The sequence below is a fragment of the Homo sapiens genome, chromosome 10, assembly GCF_000001405.40.
Source record: "Homo sapiens chromosome 10, GRCh38.p14 Primary Assembly".
Classification (NCBI taxonomy): Eukaryota; Metazoa; Chordata; class Mammalia; order Primates; family Hominidae; genus Homo; species Homo sapiens.
In genome coordinates this window covers 116,427,584-116,447,391 of record NC_000010.11, presented here as the reverse complement: position 1 = coordinate 116,447,391, position 19,808 = coordinate 116,427,584, and the positions used below count along the sequence as shown (strand labels likewise).

At 37.3% G+C, this 19,808-nt stretch overlaps 1 protein-coding gene and 1 pseudogene across 5 annotated transcripts in view; one reads left to right on the top strand and one right to left on the bottom strand.

Annotated features, from left to right (window-relative positions):
* The window catches only part of PNLIPRP3 (pancreatic lipase related protein 3), a 50,111-nt gene extending 30,566 nt beyond the window's left edge, over positions 1-19,545 (bottom strand). For 2 of the 5 annotated variants that reach the window (NM_001011709.3, XM_011539276.2), the window contains exons 1-4: positions 19,331-19,545; positions 10,527-10,681; positions 4,218-4,337; positions 2,879-3,010 (exon numbers count right to left, since the gene is read on the bottom strand). In NM_001011709.3, coding sequence (NP_001011709.2) covers positions 2,879-3,010; positions 4,218-4,337; positions 10,527-10,681; positions 19,331-19,379 — 456 coding nt within the window. In that variant the 5' untranslated portion in view covers positions 19,380-19,545. Of the gene's footprint in view, positions 1-2,878; positions 3,011-4,146; positions 4,196-4,217; positions 4,338-10,040; positions 10,172-10,526; positions 10,682-19,330 lie in introns of those variants that run through there. The other 3 variants (XM_011539278.1, XM_011539279.2, XM_011539277.1) reach the window with 3 other exon arrangements.
* On the top strand, positions 7,325-8,187 carry HMGB3P8 (high mobility group box 3 pseudogene 8; annotated as a pseudogene).
* Positions 19,546-19,808: the final 263 nt, after the last annotated feature.

Sequence of the window (19,808 nt, the reverse complement as noted above, 5' to 3'; positions counted from 1 at the left end):
TTAGAAAAAATAGCCACCTCTGCGAGGGTGTTCATGGATTGTTCTTTGTGGGAGAAGACTCTCACCAATCAGCCTAGCCAACAGTTCTGGGCACCTGTCAAAACTTTGTGCTGGTCCAAACTACTATCTTCATTCTTAGCAGCCCTCAAGCATCTAGAATAAGCTGAGTGCCATCAGCACTTCCAAGAGAGTCAAGACAGAAATCAGTCTCTCAGGCAGCCCCTGGAAAAGTTGGAACTTTTGATTTGCAGTTTAACTCTTTTCCTCCCAAGGAGAACATGGGATCTAGGGTATTCTACTCAATCACTTTGTTTGTCTGCACTGAGCTAGGGGAAGGGGCTATAGTGACTGCTTGAATGACATCTTTCTTCCCATCTTTGTTCTCATTGGCCCCTAGATACTAAAATATTCTGGGTTCTATCAGTGCTCCAAGACATGTGAGATTGAAGTGATTACCCTAAGCAGCCCCCAGAAAAGCTGAAACATTGGATATGACGTCCCACTTTTTCTGTCCACAAGGTGAAGCGGGAAGCTAGGAGTTTCCTTCAGATCATATGGTGCTGGGTCAGAGGTAGAAGTTAAGACAAGAAGGTATCTCAAATTTTCCTCTGGCCTTCGTTGTAGCTGGTTTTATATTTACCCAGGATGTAAGAGCCTCTCAACTAGTTTCTTAATTTCTCACAAAGAAAATTTGTCTGTTACTGTTGAATCAGTGTGCTTGTCAGAGAAAGAAGGATCCAGGTCTCCCTATTCCTATTATCTTAATAATGTCACTCCTGAGCAAGCATTTTTAGTTTCACCTAAGTTTCAGGCTCTCATAATTATCATGAAAATCAAGCAATTGATTTATACTTGCATACATTTTTCATTTGATCAAATATTCCATTTTTTTCCACCAGTTATGACAGTTTTATAAGTCACAGAACAAAGAATATTTTCTCTCTCATTTACATATGTGAATAACTGCCAATGAATGCTACATGGTCATTAGAACATCCCTTCCTCTACTGTTGCCACTATTTTTTTTTTTTTTTTTTTTTTTTTTTGAGACGCAGCGTCGCACTCTGGCCCAAGCTGGAGTGCAGCGGCGCCATCTCGGCTTACTGCAAGCTCCGCCTCCCGGGTTCACACCATTCTCCTGCCTCAGCCTCCCGAGTAGCTGGGACTACAGGTGCCCGCCAACACACCCAGCTAATTTTTTGTATTTTTAGTAAAGACGGGGTTTCATTTTGTTCGCCAGGATGGTCTCGATCTCCTGACCTTGTGATCTACCCGCCTTGGCCTCCCAAAGTGCTGGGATTACAGGCATTAGCCACCACTCCCGGCCGACTGTTGCCGCTATTTTAAATGACTATTTTCTTTCCTATCTCCTTATATAGGTTGGTATTTGAGATCACTCTCAGCCCTTATCCCCTTCATTCTTCTCCTTCTTCCCCATCTTCCTACCCCATTCCCAAGCACCTGCTTGCCTCAGTACCAATCCAGGTGGTGAATTGTGGTGGGCTAGTAACTTGTGATGAGATGACAGAAAGAGAGGTGGAGAAGAGACTCAGCTGTTCCTTTAGCTGCTCCTTCTTTAAGCTTGAATCCTGAATTATCCCCAGAGGCCCTGGAGCCCACTCACCCTAAACCCTTTTCCCACTTCAAGGCTGCCTATTCAATTCAATGAACATTTTAATTCAACAAACATTTTTCCCTTCAGTTCTGCAAACATCTCCTGTCAGCTTCCTATGAACCACTATTATTTATTTATTGGACATAGGAAAGCCCACAGCTCAGGCCCTAAGGTCAATAAAGAAACTCACAAAAGCTTACAGCTGGCTTTTTTTTTTTATAAAGAGAAGATGAAGATGAATCTGATTTCATCCTTTCAAAGACTTTCTCTAAAGATCTTGTACCTTAGTCTTCCCTGATAGAGTGGAAAGAGAAGATAGAGAAGTGTCGGGGCATAAATGAGTCTTTGGATCCCTAATTCCTTCTTCAGGATGTTTACTGACAGTGGTCAATGTTCAAATATCACCTAACCTGGTTGCTCATACAATTTGTTTCTGCTTCTGCCATTCTCCATTCTACTGCCTTGCATTTTCTTCACCCAGTACTTGTCACCAACTGACATTTTCTTGTTCATTTGTTTCTGTGTGTGCCTCCATTGCCTACTAGAGTGTACATTTTGTCAGAGCAGAAACACTGTCTTACTTACAAGTCATATCTTCCATGCCTAGCCCACAGTAAGTGCAGAGTGAAATATATATTTGTTGAATGAATGAATGAACCCTCCTTAAAAATCTGAAAGGATTATGCATCTTTAGATTTTACTACACTGCATTTTAGGGTGGGAAATTACTTTTTAGAAAGCATTTGGAGATTCGTGAATGTCGCAGAGTATAGGCCTAATAAATAGCAAGGTCTATTTAATTCCTTTAGAGAATATGTGTGTTAAATAGTTGTGTCTGGACTGGCCTACAGACCTAACTAATTCACAGGCACAGAACCCTGTTTTTGTGTGAAAATACATGTCATATTCTAAACAAATAATATTTGAAGGATGGTAACAATTTATAATTCTAAGGATAGATTTACAATTGATGAAACTGATTGAGGTGGTCTAACATGCTGACCAAGGCAGTGACCTTGCGGGGGCAGTTTTTAGTGATGAGCCTGTGTAGACACACTGCCACCTAGTGGTGCTTCAAATAACCACAGACTCTTTACTGCGAAGAAACTTTTCCTTTTTTGTCTGCCATATACAAATGCTTATTATTTCACATGTTCAGTACCTGTCTAAGCTAATAAAAAAAGACATTAAATTGTCCCAACTTCTGAGTGTTAATATCCAAAACCAATTCAATATAATTAAAAAAAAATCAACTCTTCTTACCATGAGAACATCAATAAAATAAGCCACCTCAGCACCAACAACACGGAGATTGTTTACAGCATGGATGTATTCCCGTGAACCGTTGATCCAATCTAAATTAATGCAATTTATATCTTCCAGCTGTAGCAACACCTGGCACAAAGATTTATATAAATATTAAATAAATAAGTGTTCAAGGAAACCGACGTGTCTCAACACTTGATTCCATAATAAGAAATTATACTAGTAGGTTGATATGGTTAGACTTTGTGTCCCCGACCAAATCTTATCTTGATTTGTAATCCCCATAATCCCCATAATCTGCACGTCTCAAAGGAGAGACCAGGTCGAGGTAATTGATTCATGGGGGTGGTTTCCCCCGTGCCGTTTTCGTGATAGTGAGTTCTTATGAGATCTGATGGTTTTATAAGGGATTCTTCCCCCTTCACTTGGCACTTCTCCTTCCTGCTGCCTAGTGAAGCGGTGCCTTCCGCCGTGATTGTAAGTTTCCTGAGGCCTCCCCAGCTATGCTGAACTGTGAGTCAATTAAACCTCTTTCCTTTATAAATTACCCAGTCTAGGGCAGTTCTTTATAGCAGTATGAAAATGGAGTAATACTTAGGTGTTAATAGAGAACCTACCACAGGCTAAGCTCTGTCCTAACCCATATATATACGTATGTCCTAACCCATATATATATATATATATATATATATATATATATATATATATGCACACACACATACATACACACACACACACACACACATACACACACACACACACACATTAGTAATTAGCACCTATGCATTAGTACCTATCTCACGGAGTGAGAATTAAATTTATATATATGTGTTTATATATATGTGTTATATATATAAACACATATGTGTTATATATATGTGTTATATATATAAAACACATATATATAAATTTAATTCTCACTCCGTGAGATAGGTACTAATGTTATCTTCACTATATGGCCTTATAAATATTTAACTGCTTATGATGTTAGCAGTCTATTAATCTTAAGTATAGGAGAGAAAGATTAATTTCATGGAGTTAACTTGGAAATTGTTTTTCTTAAATTAAATGAGAAATTGATCATACCATTTAATCTCCTGTCAAGAGAAGAATTTATTCAAGAGTGATTATACAAATTTGCTTCCCTTGTAATCTGTGCAATTTATAATAAAAATAAATGGGAAATGGATAACTAATTTGAGGCCCCAGAACACGGATAATTGTGGATAACTGAATGGAAGATTTCCATGAATATACATCAATACCTTGCAAAGTACATTCATGTTAAACATAAAGCTCGCATGCTAGTGTAAAAAGGAGCTTATTCATGTCATACATTGCACATGTCTCTCTGCCATTTGCCATCTGTTTTCCATCCAGCTATGTTGATACGGGTGATCTTGTCTGTTCCAAAATATGAGGCTTGGATAGTTGAAGAATTAACCGCACTGATCTCCTGTTTCAAGCAGAAAGAGATTAAGGAAAAATAATAATTAAAAATTATTTAATAGTTAGTAGACCTATTCTAAAGCTGCTCGAAAGCCTTTCACTAAATTTGATCTTTAGCAACCTTCTTTAATATATTTTTACTAAATAGTTATGGCTACATATTATAAAAGTACCAAAAATTATTATTATTATTATTTAGAGACAGTGTCTCACTGTGTTGCCCAGGCTGAAGTGCAATGACTCCATCATAACGCACTGCAGTTGCAAACTCCTGGGCTCAAGCCATCTGGCCGCCTCAGCCTCCTGAATAGTTGGATTACAGACCCATGACACCACACATGGCTAATTTTAAACAATTTTTTTAGAGACAGGGTCTCACTATGTTGCCTAGGGTGATCTTGAACTCCTGGCCTCAAGTGATCTTCCTACCTCAGCCTCCCAAGTTGCTGGGATTATAGGCACGAGCCACCACATCTAGCTCAAAAAGTTAATGCATTATAAAATGCAGTATACGAATTCAACACGAGGAAAAAATCTTTGATTTTTAAAGTAATGTTTGCAAGACAATGTTGGGAAGTTTAAATCATAGTTTCAGTAAATCTTATTTTTGTATAACATTTCTCAGTGATCAGTGTAATTCATGAGAATTAAAACATGCCTAGAAGCATGCCAAAAACATGGCAAAATGGAGGTTGTCCACCCCACTTTATGAGTAAGGAATTGAGGTTAGAATCTCATCACATGAAATACACCAGCATATTGGAGATAATTTTATATGATTATGTCAAATATTCTTTTGTATTTCTTGTATTTTGTTGGATTGCCTTAATAACAAAACTCTCAAAGACTTTAGGAGACTATAAATTTAAGTGATTTTGTTATTTAAAACAATAAAAGGCACAAGTATAAGCAATTCTATTGGAAAAAATGAATACTTAAATCAGCAAATAGCAAGTCTGACAGTGGTGAATCCTATAACCTGGAAGCAACACATTTAGATATTTATGAAATTCAAACAAAGAGCCTATTTCTGGCTACCTGTGTTTAATAGTAATGCAATTAATCATACAATTTGCTGGCTAGGTAAAGTGTCTCCAAGACTGTAAGCTAATGGTTATGAGAGTCATAAGTTGGCTTGCTCAGTAATTATAATAGCTAACACTCCTATCTGTCTATTTGCCAGGCATTGTTCTAAGCACTTTATAGAGTAGCTCATTTAACTCTCAAAACACTGTGAAGTAGGTACTAATTTTAAAAATTAGAAAAGGGGACTCTGAGGGGCCAAGTAACTTGCCAAAAAGTACTGCAGCTAATGAATCCTGGAGCCAGAGTTCAAATCCACATGGCCTTTGAAGTTAGGTGCTTAACCACTGGGCTCTCAAGCGATGTTCTGATTATAGTGTTCTCTGCTGATAGGGCCCAAACCAGATGTGGGATTTGCTGAAGTGAGCAATAAAATCAATCATCTTCAGGCCTTCTAGGAAGCATTTTTCTGCTAAATAATCCAATCCAAGTACAAAAACATGATTCCATCTATGTCTCTAAGATAATCCAGGTGCTCACTCATTTCAACTCTCTTAGGCCCAGCTGGAGCGCCTCAAACACCTACTATAGTCCCATTTCTACATCTGAAAAACCTTTTGGAGGGAATTTAGTCCGAAAAAAATTGTTTATTCTTTTCTCAACATGAGAATAGCATTCTGACAGGCATTGTGGGGTCTGAGCATCTGTTGTCATGCTAGTGTAAAAAGGAGTTTATTCACATCATACATTGCACATGTCTCCCTGCCATCTGCCATCTGTTTTCCATCCAGGTATGCTGATATGGGTGATCTTGTCTGACATCAATGAGGAGTTTAATCAAGTAGAATAGGTAGAGAAAACACTTTCACATTCACTCTGGCACAACCCTCTAAAGCAGCTTTTCAACATAAATGTGGGAAACTCCATACACCATCATGGGATCAAAAGAAGACAGCTTAGATTCTGCTGCCACAAGGATAGAAACGAGGAAATGATGTCAATATTGTACAGAATAGGTTATCGAGAGGAAGGGTTAATTAAAGTATCAAGGTTTATCTGGGCCTTTTAGCATTCTTTGACTGAGCAGACATGAAGCATAATAGGTACGAGATCAATCCATTCTGATGACTACATTTCCAGTGATATCATCTCTAGCAAGTAAAAAATAGTTACCAGTTAGGTATGTTCTATCCTTGACTAAAGCTGCAGACACAGAAACTACCGGAAGTGTGCAACATGTCCATCACCACCAGTGACTGTATAAGTCACTCTAGGTTAAGGTGTCATGGATTCATGGGGGAAGTCGGTTGGTTTTATTCTTACAGAAAGGTAACTGTAAAGACCTGTGACCTCCAGAAGACCAAGTTTATCGTACCACACCACATTTACCTTTGACAATTCCTCACTTGGAGAAGAGAGTATGTTAACTGTGTAGAGTTAATTTCTGATTTGTTTATAAATGAGTCCAATTCATATAGCATATGAGTCAGGCCTGTGGAAATCCTTATTTTAATTACACACCTTGACTCATCCTATATCACAGTTGTTAGAAAAACACTTTAACAGCAAACAATAGGCTTCCATCCATTACAAAATTCAGATACATATCTGGTTTAATTACACATGATTCTTTCCAAATGGAGGGAAGTGGGGAAGGTGTGAAGAACATTATTTAGGGAAGTACTTAGTTTTCCAATTTTCTCTTCATTGGCAGTAGGACCCAGCTTCACCTAAACACTGTCTTTATCACCTTCTGTTTTACTGACCGTGCTCCACAGAATTCAAGTGCATGGCCACTTATATAAAAGGATAAAAGGATCAATGAGCCTGATGAGTCCTAAGAGTGAAGATCAGGGAATAGAGTTAGTCCTAAGTGGATAAATATGCCCTGAACATCCTAAAAGGCAGAGAAGGTGCCCCCAAATACTTGTATTCTACATAGATTCTCTTCACTTAAAAAAAAGTTGATCTACTAGCGAACAATACAGTCAGGATGGCTAAAGGTGACCCCTAGAAACCAAACGGCAAGATGTCTGCTTATGCCTTCTTCGTGCAGACGTGCAGAGAAGAACATAAGAAGAAAAACCCAGAGGTCCCTGTCAATTTTGCAGAATTTTCCAAGAAGCGCTCTGAGAGGTGGAAGATAATGTCCGGGAAAGAGAAATCTAAATTTGATGAAATGGCAAAGGTGATTAAAGTGCGCTATGATCGGGAAATGAAGGATTATGAACCAGCTAAGGGAGGCAAGAAGAAGGATCCTAATGCCCCTAAAAGGCCACCGTCTGGATTCTTCCTGTTCTGTTCAGAATTCTGCGCCTAGATCAAATCCACAAACCCTGGCTTCTCTATTGGAGACGTGGCAAAAAAGCTGGGTGAGATGTGGAATAACTTAAATGGCAGCGAAAAAGCAGCCTTACATCACTAAGGTGGCAAAGCTGAAAAAGTATGAGAAGGATGTTGCTGACTATAAGTCGAAAGTAAAGTTTGATGGCGCAAAGCGTCCTGCTAAAGTTGCCCGGAAAAAAGTGGAAGAGGAGGATGAAGAAGACGGGGAGGAAGAATAGGAGGAGGAGGAGGAATAAAGAAACTATTTATCTGTCTCCTTGTGAATACTTAGAGTAGGGGAGCTCTGTAATTGACACATTTCTTATCTGAGAAGTGTCTGTTGCCCTCATTAGGTTTAATTACAAAATTTGATCATGATCATATTGTAGTCTCTCAAAGTGCTCTAGAAATAGTCAGTGGTTTACAAGAAGTGGCCACGGGTGTCTGGAGCACCCTGAAACTGTATGAAAGTTGTACGTATTTCCAAACATTTTAAAAATGAAAATGCAAAAGAAGTCAAAATATACATAACATTAAAATCAACATTTTAACCATTTTAAAGTGCAAACTCAGTGGCATTAAGTCATTCACATTGTCATGCAGCTATCACTACCATCTTTCTCCAGAACTGTTTTCACCCCAAACTAAAATTCTGTACCCATTAAACAGGAACTCTCCATTACCTGCTCCAGATATCTCCTATAAATGAAACCATAGATTATTTGTCCTTTTGTGTCTGGCTTATTAGCAAAATGTTTTGAATGGTCATCCATGTTATATTATGTATTGGCATTTCACTTCTTTTTAAAGCTAAGTAATATTCCTCTCTTTACTTCTTGATAATTATAAAACTCAAGCTTTTGAGGAATGTTTCTTTATAAGTGTCTCTATACCCATAGTAAGAACTTTTTTCCTTGTTCTAGAGACAGCCACATCTACAGAATTGGTCAAACTCATATAACATATGGGTCAGGCCTGTGGAAATCCTTGTTTTAAGTACATACCTTGATTTATCCTATATCTTGGTTGTTGAAAAACACTTTAACAGCAAACAATCAGGCTTCTATCCATTACAAAATTCAGGTACAGATCTGGTTTAACTACACATGATTCTTTCCAAATGGAGGGAAGTGGAGAAGGTGTGAAGAACATTATTTAGGGAAATACTCATCTACAGATAGCTGGCAGATTTCAGTAAAGAGTAGTGTGTACATATGTATGTGTGTCTGGTGAGTAGAGAGCTACAAATCAGACCATATTTGTACGGTAGGAGTGCATAGGAGAAGACTGCCCTGGCTGGCAAGGCCCAGCAGTATGTGATGGGCCTGATGGAAAGTAAGCCCTGAGGTTACAGATTCAGGTAAAGACTGGAAATGATCTTCTCTGGCCCCACTTTTTTCCTGCTCCCTAAATATAGATCCTCCAACCACTCCTAGTCCTGCCCTCGTTTCTCTGCTTCTGAGATTTCATGTACTCTTTGGGTTTCAATTTGCAACCCCAGCCAGAAGACTTTTGAATCTTTTTCTCCAGCTCTGGGCTGCCTGCTTCGCTGTTAGACTAACATCTCCAACAGCCTGCTCAAGCCCCACCTATCCAGAATCTAACTCCTTCTCTTTTATCCTCAATTTTTCTGATAAGAGGGTTATCATTTTCCCAATCATTTACGTGTGAAATCTCAGACTAGTTTATGATGTCTATCATGTTGATTTTCTATTATCATAACCACTTTCATTACTGCAGTTCAGGCTGTTTCCCGTGTGTGATCCAAACTGCACTATAGCTTTCTATTTAACATTGTCAAATGGACCTTTCTGTGATGACGGAAATATTCTATATCTGTAATGTCCAGTATGGTAGCCACTAGCCACATGTGGCTATTGAGCACTTGAAATGTGGCTGGTGTGGCTGATGAATTGAGTTTTTAATTTTATTTAATTGTAATTTTAATAGTCACATGTGGCTAGTGGCTACTATGTTGGACAGCACAGTTCTAAATGGCCTCATAGTCACCTCTAGTCTCTTCCAGCTTCAGACAAGAGAGCAACAGCAGCCAGAGTAAATGCCCTAAAGCATCTCTGAAAAGCTCTCAATGGGGCCCCATGGCTTACAGGATGAAGTACAAACTCCACAGGAAGGAACTATACAATTTGTTCCTCAACTACTTTTCTAACTAACCTTACTTTTGAAGACTCCTTCTCTGCCCACAGACTAACCCAACACGTCATTCATCAGACAGGCCTGTGGTTTCTCTCCTTTATGTTCATGCCACTTCCTTTGCCATTACCCTGCTTATCTCTGCTTGTGAGCACTTTGCCCATCCTGCAGGATACACCTCAAATACATGTCCTCCTCAAAATGTTACCTGGTTCCATCCCTGACCTCAAGGTGAGCTCTTCTTCACTTTGTTCCCAGAGTCTTTCAGTTGCATCTTACATCACAGATCATAATTTGTGTTGCAAGAAAGGTATTTGTTTGTACATGTCATTTCTCCCACTGCAATAAAGTCAAGACTGTTCTGTTTATTCAATTCAATAGACAATAGGCATTGTTGCTTATTCAGTCTTACAGATGGAAGGTTCTCAGTTGGTACATTGACTGAACATAATATCAAGTTTACCTGTTATGAAATAACATAAGAGCAATCTTCATATTTAAATCAGATATATCAGAACAGATAATATAGAACAGATAACATAGAAAAAATCTGACTCATAATACTGAAAAGAAATGTTTGCATTTAAGTCAATAGCATATGTCAGAATAGGTTACTGTATCTATGTCTTCTGTATCTATAGGCAAATCTTATATTTTAGAATAATCCATGTGTGAAGGCTGCAAGTTAGCTTACCTGATAGGCATTGGGATTGTGTATAGTGTAGAGCAGGAAACGAGTGTTTATCTTCTCTGGAGACCAGGGTAAACCTACCAACTCTGTTGAGAAAGTCCTGGTCCATGGTAAACCATCTTTGAAACACCCTAACCTTTCATAGCAAACTTCTTTTCCTGCAGCAGAAAGGTGGAGTGTCAGTATAGAGGAACCAGGCTTAGAGAGAGGCTGTGTTTCTCACTATGAGTTAAAGTAGAATTTAATTTTGGAAATTAACCCCTTATTGGATTTATGGCTTGAAAATATTTTCTCCTATTCTATAGGGTTGCCTTTTCATTTTGTTGACTAGTTCCTTTACTGTGCAGAAGCTTTTTTGTTTAATGCAATCCCACTTGTTTATTTATTTTATTTCGTTGCCTGTGCTTTTGTTGTCATATTCCAAAATGATCATTGCTAAAGCCAGCAACAAGGAGATTTTTCGTATGTTTTCTCATAGGAGTTTTATAATTTCAAGTCTTACATTTAAGTCTTTATTCCAAGTTAATTTTGTATATGGCATAAGGTAAGGGTTCAATTTCATTCTTTTGTATGTGGATATCCAATATTCCCAATACCATTTGTTGAACAAACCTATCATTTCCTCATTGTTATATTCTTGGCACCCTTGTCAAAGACTAGCTGACCATATACACACAGGTTTATAATTTTGTATATGGCGTAAGGGTTCAATTTTATTCTTTTGAATGTGGATATCCAATTTTCCCAACACCATTTGGTGAATAAGCCAATCATTTCCTCATTGCATATTCTTGGCACCCTTGTCAAAGACTAGTTGACCATATACACATGGGTGTATTTCTGCACGCTCTACTCTGTTCCATTTGTTTATGTGTCTGTTTTTATGTCAGTATCACACTGTCTTGATTAATATAATTTTGTAGTAAATATAGTTTTGAATCAGGAAGTGTGCTGCTTCCAGCTTTGTTCTTCTTTCTTAAGATTGCTTTGTTATTTGGAGTCTTTTGTGGTTCCACAACAACTTTAGGATTGTTTTCTCTATTTCTGTAAAAAAATTACCTAAGGAACTCACACAACTTAATAGCAAAAAGCAAATAACTAAATTTTAAAATAGGCAAAGACCTGGACAGACATTTTCCTTAAGAAGCATACAAATGGCCAACAGCCATATGAAAAGATGCTCAACATCGTGAATCACTATGGAAATGTAAACCAAAACCTTAATGAGATATCATCCCACACTTGTTAGGATGGTACTGGCCACATTCCAGCCTCAGCAAAGCTCAGCCAGAAGGGCAGGCTTGAAGCCGAGAGATAACAGCTCAATAACCCAGCGCATCCCACTCTTCACTTTGTCTCACCTCTTCCTCCAATGCGGTCAATACACTGTTTTGTTTTTTGTTTGGTTGGTTTTTTTTTTTTTGGCTCATTTATTGGCTTCTATTATAAATTTAAACAGTAACCTTCTATTTTTTGATCCATACAACATATTCATTAGAACCTGACTCCCAGTTTCCTAAGAGGAAGATTTTAGAGGTACTGACTCTCCCTCTCTTCCTCCCTTCCAGCTTCCAAGGTCTGTCAGCTTCATAATGTTGTTTTCATACTATCAAAATTGATAATATTCAGACTTTGCTCTATAAGCAAAATTAATCCTTCTATGTTTTGTCTGCATGCTGACTCCAAAAAGTTGAAAATCAATGAACAGAATTTATATTATTATAACTAGATAAATATTTTTGGCTTCAATCAACTCGCATGCTATAATTACATTTCCTTTACTGCACTTCCATTGTTCAGACACTCATTCTCTTCAAAGGAGATGATTCAAATGAATTGTCTTTCCTAATATTTGAATTACTCAGGATCAGTGTCATCGTAGGTTACTCCATATTTGGATCATGCCTCTCTTGTACTGTTTGTGTTTTCCTATATTCTCTGGTTGCCTTTTTTTCTCTTCCTGGAAGAATGAACATGTGCCTTCTTCAATATATTCCTATTATATTGCAGCTTCTTAATATTTCTCCTGCCTGGAATCCATTCTGATCCTTTTCTAATTTGAACCAGTGACTTCATAGTTGGATCATGGCTTTCTAAAACAGCCTTCTGTTTTCCCTAGAATGCCCAGTTGCCCTTATTTTTTGCATTCTGTTGCTTTTTTCTCCAGGTCCTCAACTACATTATTCAGTCTATGGATTTTAAAATGAAGATTTTTATAACTAGTCCTTATTTTCTATGTTTATCGCTTACCAGGGTTATCTACCACTGTGCTCTTTTTTCCATAAGAAAATGCTCACAGAGAGTGTAAAGTTAAAGGAAAATGGATGTGATAAAGCACAGTGAGCAATATTATAAGGTATTAAAGCCACTTAAGAAAAGATTGAAAGATTAATAGTTCTGTAAAAATAATGTTTGCTATAAAGTTAATACATTGAAATTGGGTCAATAACTTAAGTGGCCAATAATAAAGGATATAGTTTTAAAATTATGGTATTGAGGAATATTATGCAGCCATTAAAAATGTTTATAGAGAATTTGTAATAATATCTGTAATGGAAAAAAGTAAAATTAAAAGAAAGGTACCAAAATATTAATGGTGAATCCCAGTGGTTTTAATTTTCTTATTTATACTTGTCTATGTTATCAAATTTTCAGTAATAAATATGAATTACCTTTATAATAATAAAAAGGTCACAAAAGGAGAGAAAGAGTACTTCTTTACCAAATGATGCCCAGTCTGGTTTTTTCTTTTTGTCTTACTACTGCTAATAAAAAATACCAAAAACAGATTTAGCCTTATGTGTCATACATGTGAAAAAATGAAGACTTAGAAAAAGTGATGATCTAAGAGAAATGTATTGCTATTTGTGGCAGGAAAATAATTGAACCCTTATGCCGGTCACTCTATCACTAAGTGGAATTGGGAGATATAGCCTAGCTTTTGCTAGGTTACTTTATGGTAATAAACAGCCCCTCACATCTCACTGGCTTACAAAAATTAAGGTTTATTTCTTGCTCATGTTATCCTTTGGCTGCAGTGGTTTTAGGTTGGGCCTAGCTCTGATTTACCAGCCTTCTGCATTGCAGGATCCAAGCTAAATGAGTAGGCTCTGTTTTGAGCCTGTGTCTGTTGGGGCAAAGGAAAATGATGCAACTGTGGAACCATGCAAAGGCTCTTAAAGGTGTCTAGACTTAGAATACTCTCTTCCATGTCATGTGGTCAAAGATGAATGTGTATAATGGTCTTAAAGGGATGGAGAGTCAATATGGGGAACAACAATACAATCTACATACTATGGAAGGGTATGTAGATTTCAGTTTCTGTAAGTACCACCAGTATGACAACCTTACATGTCCTACAAGAATGAAAACCCGTTGTTATTTTAATTTGCATTTATTTAATTATCAGAAACTTTGAATATCCTTTTGTGCATTTCTAGCCATTTGTACCTCTTTTGTGGATGAGATCTTTGTGTCCTATGCATATTTTTCTAAAGTTTGTTTTTGCTTATTTATTTGTAAAAACTCTTCAAAGAGTAGAGAAATTTGCTTCCTTTTAGTCAGATATCTGGAAAATATACTCAAATTTGTTGTCTATATTTTTGTTTTACTTTACTTTTGTCATTTAGAAATTTTGCATTTATGCAATCAAAATTATCAGGCTTTTGCTTAGTGGCTTTGGGGTTTTGTTTTGTTTGGAAAAGGCTTCCTCACTCCAAGACTTTTTTTTTTTTTTTTTTTTTTTTTTTTTTTTGAGATGGAGTTTTACTCTTGTTGCTCAAGCTGGAGTGCAATGGCACGATCTCAGCTCACTGCAACCTCCGCTTCCCAGGTTCAAGCGATTCTCCTGCTTCAGCCTCCCGCGTAGCTGGGATTACAGGTGTGCACCTCCACACCTGGCTAATTTTTTGTATTTTTAGTAGAAACAGGGTTTCACCATGTTAGCCAAGCTAGTCTGGATCTCCTGACCTCGTGATCCGCCCGCCTCGACCTCCCAAAGTGCTGGGATTACAGGCATGAGCCACCGTGCCTGGCCACTCCAAGACTATTAACAATTACACACTTTTCTTTCATACTTCTTTCTAATGTTTTATCTTTTACTTTTGAATGTTTACCCACCTGGGATTTATTCTGGTGTAAGTAGTAAGACTTTCATCTAGAATTTCAATTCTTTTACCATAAATTTATGCAAAGTCTAGTCATTTTAACTTCATCCACATCTGAGGTTATTTCACTTTATTTAAATTTGCCATCATGGCATCATTAGTTTTATTAAGCAACTGCCACATAGGTTTATGAATTCTATCTTTCCTGTTTGTATGATTCACTTCTACTTATATTTTTATTTTTATTACTTAAATGCTTTCTTCACCTTTACTTATTTTATTTTCCACTTTCTTCAGTTCTTGAGTCATTGTATTTTAATATATTCTCTAGTTGAAATGCTTTATTTCCCCTTTGGCCTAAGAATTCTTTAAAGAAACATTTGAAAAACAGCACATTACATGAAGCTAGTGTTAATTGGTTAAGAAATCATGTAAATTGGCATATTAGTTCTTATCTTCCTAATTTCCACTCTCTAAAGGAGTCACTTCTCTATCTTACTGTGAGCAGGCTTTTCCAAAGACATAGAAAAGCTGGAAAGTAGGTTCGATAATCTATTCAAGAAATATTTGTTTGTGCCTATTATTTGCCAGATGCTATTAGCACTGGAATTCAGCATTGGAGAAAACAATTCTAGCCCTCATGGAGTATATAATCTAGTTAGGGGATGTAGAGACAGACAATAAATAAGAATACGTTTTTCAAAAATGGCTACATTAAAACAGTGACAGGTGCTAGGAGGAACCTAAAGCAGGGAAGGGATGAGGGTGTTTGTGTGTTTAGGTGAGGAGGGGTTTGCAGTTTAAATAGGGTGTCCAGGGTAGCATTTGCATCAAGACCTGGGGGGGAGAGGAGCAAACCGCATGCAGATGTGTGGGACAGCATTCCAGACAGAGGGAAGGAAAGCACAAGACTCTGCAAGGAAGCAGAGAGCCTACTGTGACTGAGGAATGAGGAGGCACCGGGACTAGGGCCCAGGGAATGGAGACAGGGAGAAGACATAGCTCCACAATGACTTACTCTGCAATTTCAAAATCTAAAAATCTCTGGGGAAAAATAGTTGCTTTTGGGCTTGTTCATTTATTTGTTTTCTAGTTTGCAGTAACTAGTTTGGCAGCAATAACAGACCTAAAGCTGTTTATAGTCTTTATCCCATTTAATATGAGATTAAATTATGTGGGATCGTAGTCATGTATTTTACTACATAAATATGCATGTGATTAAATATGGGGTTCTGTCCTAGATTTTTCTGGAAATTATGTATTATATACAGTATGTTTACCATAGCATGTTTCAAAATAATAAAAAAAACCCTAACATTTGTAATGCATCTGGCCCCCAGGAGTTTGAATAGGGGTAGGTGGATGAGGAGCAGGGGTTAATGCTAGGAGGTAACAGAGGGCTAAAGCATGTAGCATTTGGTAGTTCACTGGCTCTTACTCTGAAGTGAGATGGGAAGCCACTGGAGGGCTCTGAGCAGAAAAGTGACATGGACTGACTTGGGTTAGCTTCTGGGCAAGGTAGAGGAAGAGGCCAGTTAGGAGACTATTATAACAAACTAGATAAAAGTCAGTGGTGGCTAAGACTAGGGTGGTAGCAGTGGTGTGGTTACAAGTGGTCAGGTTCTGCATGGATTTTGAGGGAGGATCCAAAGAGTTGTGCTGACTGATTGGCAGTGAGGTATGACAGAAAGAAAAGTCAAGGATGATGCAAGGTGTTTTGGCCAGAGCATCTGGAAGGCCATTAATTGTGAAAACTTTGAGACGAACAGATTTGGGGGTAGATATTGAGAGTTCAGTTTTGGATATGTAGATTCTATATGAATTAGATACCTAAGTGGAGCTACCTTGCATATACGAGACTGGGATTCCAGGGAGAAGTTCAGCTGGAGAGATTACATTTGGAAGTCATTAGCATAAATGGTAGGTACCAGAAGATTGAAGGCAATGGACTCTGTTACAGATTTAATAGATGAGATATAGGTAATAATACAAATGAATGTAAGCTCAATTGTTAAATTTATGGCAGTTGTGTAATAGATATGTGGTGTGTAGGAGAAATATATGTATTATCTAAATTTTACATAAGTATGTATTTTGTTAAAATAACTTCTTATTAGGCAGACATTTCTCTCCTCAATTCCCTTCTTATCCAGTGTAAATCCTACAGTCAATTAAAACCATACCCCTGTACTCTCCTTGAACTTCTCTCCTGTTCTTGCTTCACTTGGCTTAACCACAACTCTGGTTAAACCCAACACTTCACCTATTTCCTGTCTACACCTGTGCAGCTGAATGTGCCTGGAGGAAATCACATACCGTACTGACTATCTCACTTTTAATTTGTGGTTATGAAATTAAAGCAGATCTTAAAGCTACCCAGCCATCATATCATATTTTCCTAGGCCCTTCATTTTCCCAGACTCCTGGGTTATTTCATTCTTCTTGCCTCTCAAACCTCCAACATCTTCATGCCCACCAAACCTCTTGGCTGATGACCCTGTTTCCTATTTCAATAGGAAACCAGAAACAAAGAGAAGAGACCTTTTACAAGCTCCCAGCGTGTCTATCCAGCTACCTGCAGATATCTGCCCTTCTATTTTGCCTTCACTCTGTTCACAAGAGATGAACTGTCTTTGTTTCTCGCAAAGGCAAACCTTCATCCTATTAAGACTCCATCTTCTCTCACCTACTGAGGGGTAAGGCACAACATTACTCCCTTCTCTTTCTCCTGCTTTACCAACTTTCCTCCTCTCTGCTGGATCATTCCTAGCCTCACACAAACATGCTGTTATTTCTTTCATCTTAAATTGACTTCTAGGATGCTGACTCTCCTAGGTTTCCTACCACTTCACTGAGTACTTCTTGGCAGTCTTGTTTGCTAGTTTGCCTTCATCTTCCTGATTTCTTAATGAGGAAGTGTCCTAGGACTCAGTAGTTCCATCTTCCTTCTCTACCTGCAGTCACTCCCTTGATGATCCTGTCTGTAGTCATGGCTTTAAATATCATCTCAGCAGATCAGGGCAAACTGCCTATTTCTTAATTCTGCCTTCACCAGTCTAACTGCTTTCAGCACTCAATTAGGACTGTCCTGGGGCAGGAGAATCATGCAAAATAGAATATAGTTCTTGAAATATGAAAACTAATGATAGTCCTATCTCCTTCATTTTTTATCCAATAGAGAAGAGCTGGAGGCCAGGGACTGAAAAACACTGAACTGAAAGTCAAGATTGGCCAATTCCACAAGCTAGCGCCAAGATGTTACACAACGAATCTCTCTGTGTTTTGTTTTCTTCATCTGTGTAAATAAGAGCGAACATTTATTGATTGCTCACTACTAATATGTCCCAAATCCCATGCCAAGCATTTTACATGAATTGCAGATTGAGTATCCCTTATCCAAAACGCTTGGGACCAGAAGTGTTTCAGATTTTGTGTTTTGGAATGTTTGCATATACACAATAAGATATCTTGGGGACAGGGTCCAAGTCTTAACACAAAATTCATTTATGTTTCATATATACCTTATACACATAGGCTAAAGGTAATTTTATACAGTATTTTAATAATTTTATGCATGAAACAAAGTTTGTTTTAAGTATTTGTATGTGAAATATTCTGCTTGTGGCATCATGTTAGTGCTTAAAATGTTTCAGATTTTGGAGAAGTTTAGATTTTAGATTTTTGGATTCGAGATGGTCAACTTGCATCTTATTTAATTGGCACAACCCTATAATTTTATTTTGGTTACTGTCCTGTTTCTACAGATCAATCATCTGGGCTTAGAAAGGTTAAGTACTTGTTTAAAGTTAAGCAACTACCAAGCAGCAGAACGAGGACTAAAACCCAAGAAGATTCAGAATTCAAACCGGTGGTTGAACTGAATGTTAGATGTGACGACTGTCTTCTTACCACCATACTATCTCAACCAACTACGTGATACTTTACAACAAAGGGGTTGATCTCTTTCAACATTAAAATTATTTGATTCTAGTTTGGTTAAAATAAATCAACTAATTTTAATGTTTGCTTATAGGCACAATATTAAACATGGATGGTAAAAGTAGCCAAAATCACTAACTCCTTACATTGTAATGTCTAAGGAGTCCATAGTATAAAGAGCAAACATGTCAATGAATACTGAGTTAATGTTTAAGAAATGTCCACAGACTAACAGCCCTCCAGAAAACTGTGACTGAAGTGGAAAAAAAATGGACATTCCAACTGACATTAATAATTAGTTAATTCATTCAATTATTGAGTATCTACTATGAGTCAGCTACAGAATTTGGAAATTTGTATATATTTTCTCATTTATTACTATGTACCCTTCTTAGAAATGAAGAAATTGAGACTTCAATGTCTAAGCCCATAAGACTAGTAAGTGGCAGAGCTAGCAGCCCAACACAAGACTGTCCGGCAACTCTTTTATATTGTTGGAAATAGATGCTTCTTTATGTTCATAAGACTCATTCAGTATTAAGTGATGCATTTTCCATTGATAATTTTATGTTAAGTGAAAAAATAAATAAATACAAAGAAATATAAGCAGCCAATATTTTAAACATATTCATAAAAACAATAAACTACTTAAGAATGAAATTAGCAATAGTAATTTCTAAAGAATAAGTTCATGTCAATTACATTTTAGATGTAAGTATACTCATTATTTTTAAAGAACTTATTATAAATTATGAATCTTACCTCTTGATGTGCCAAAGAACAAGAATGCAACAATCCAAATTCCAAGCATCTAAGCTGATTTTTTAAATCACATAAAAATCTTCTTGAAGATCTTTACTTGTAAAGTCACCTCACTATAAAATACTAAGTGGTTTTCCTCACAATGATGCAACTCAATGTTTAAACTCTACGTTTAAAAGAACATGTTATTCCACCTTATGCTCTGCAAAGTAAATAAAATTATCGGGGTGTGCCTTACATCTTATGATTGGCAATGGAAACTTCCAAGGTTTTGCTGTTTCATTATTAGTAATATTTTGGTTAAGCACAAACTGAGTCACTCTTGAAAGTTACTTTAAGGTTACAAGGTGTTAGATAATAAGCATTTAAAAGGTAATTTTTTTTTTCCAAACCAGGATTAGGCACTTTCAGAATATTTTTCCCTAACTCATTTCTGTGTGTAAGCATCCCAATTAATACAAACAGACCCTGCTATAAG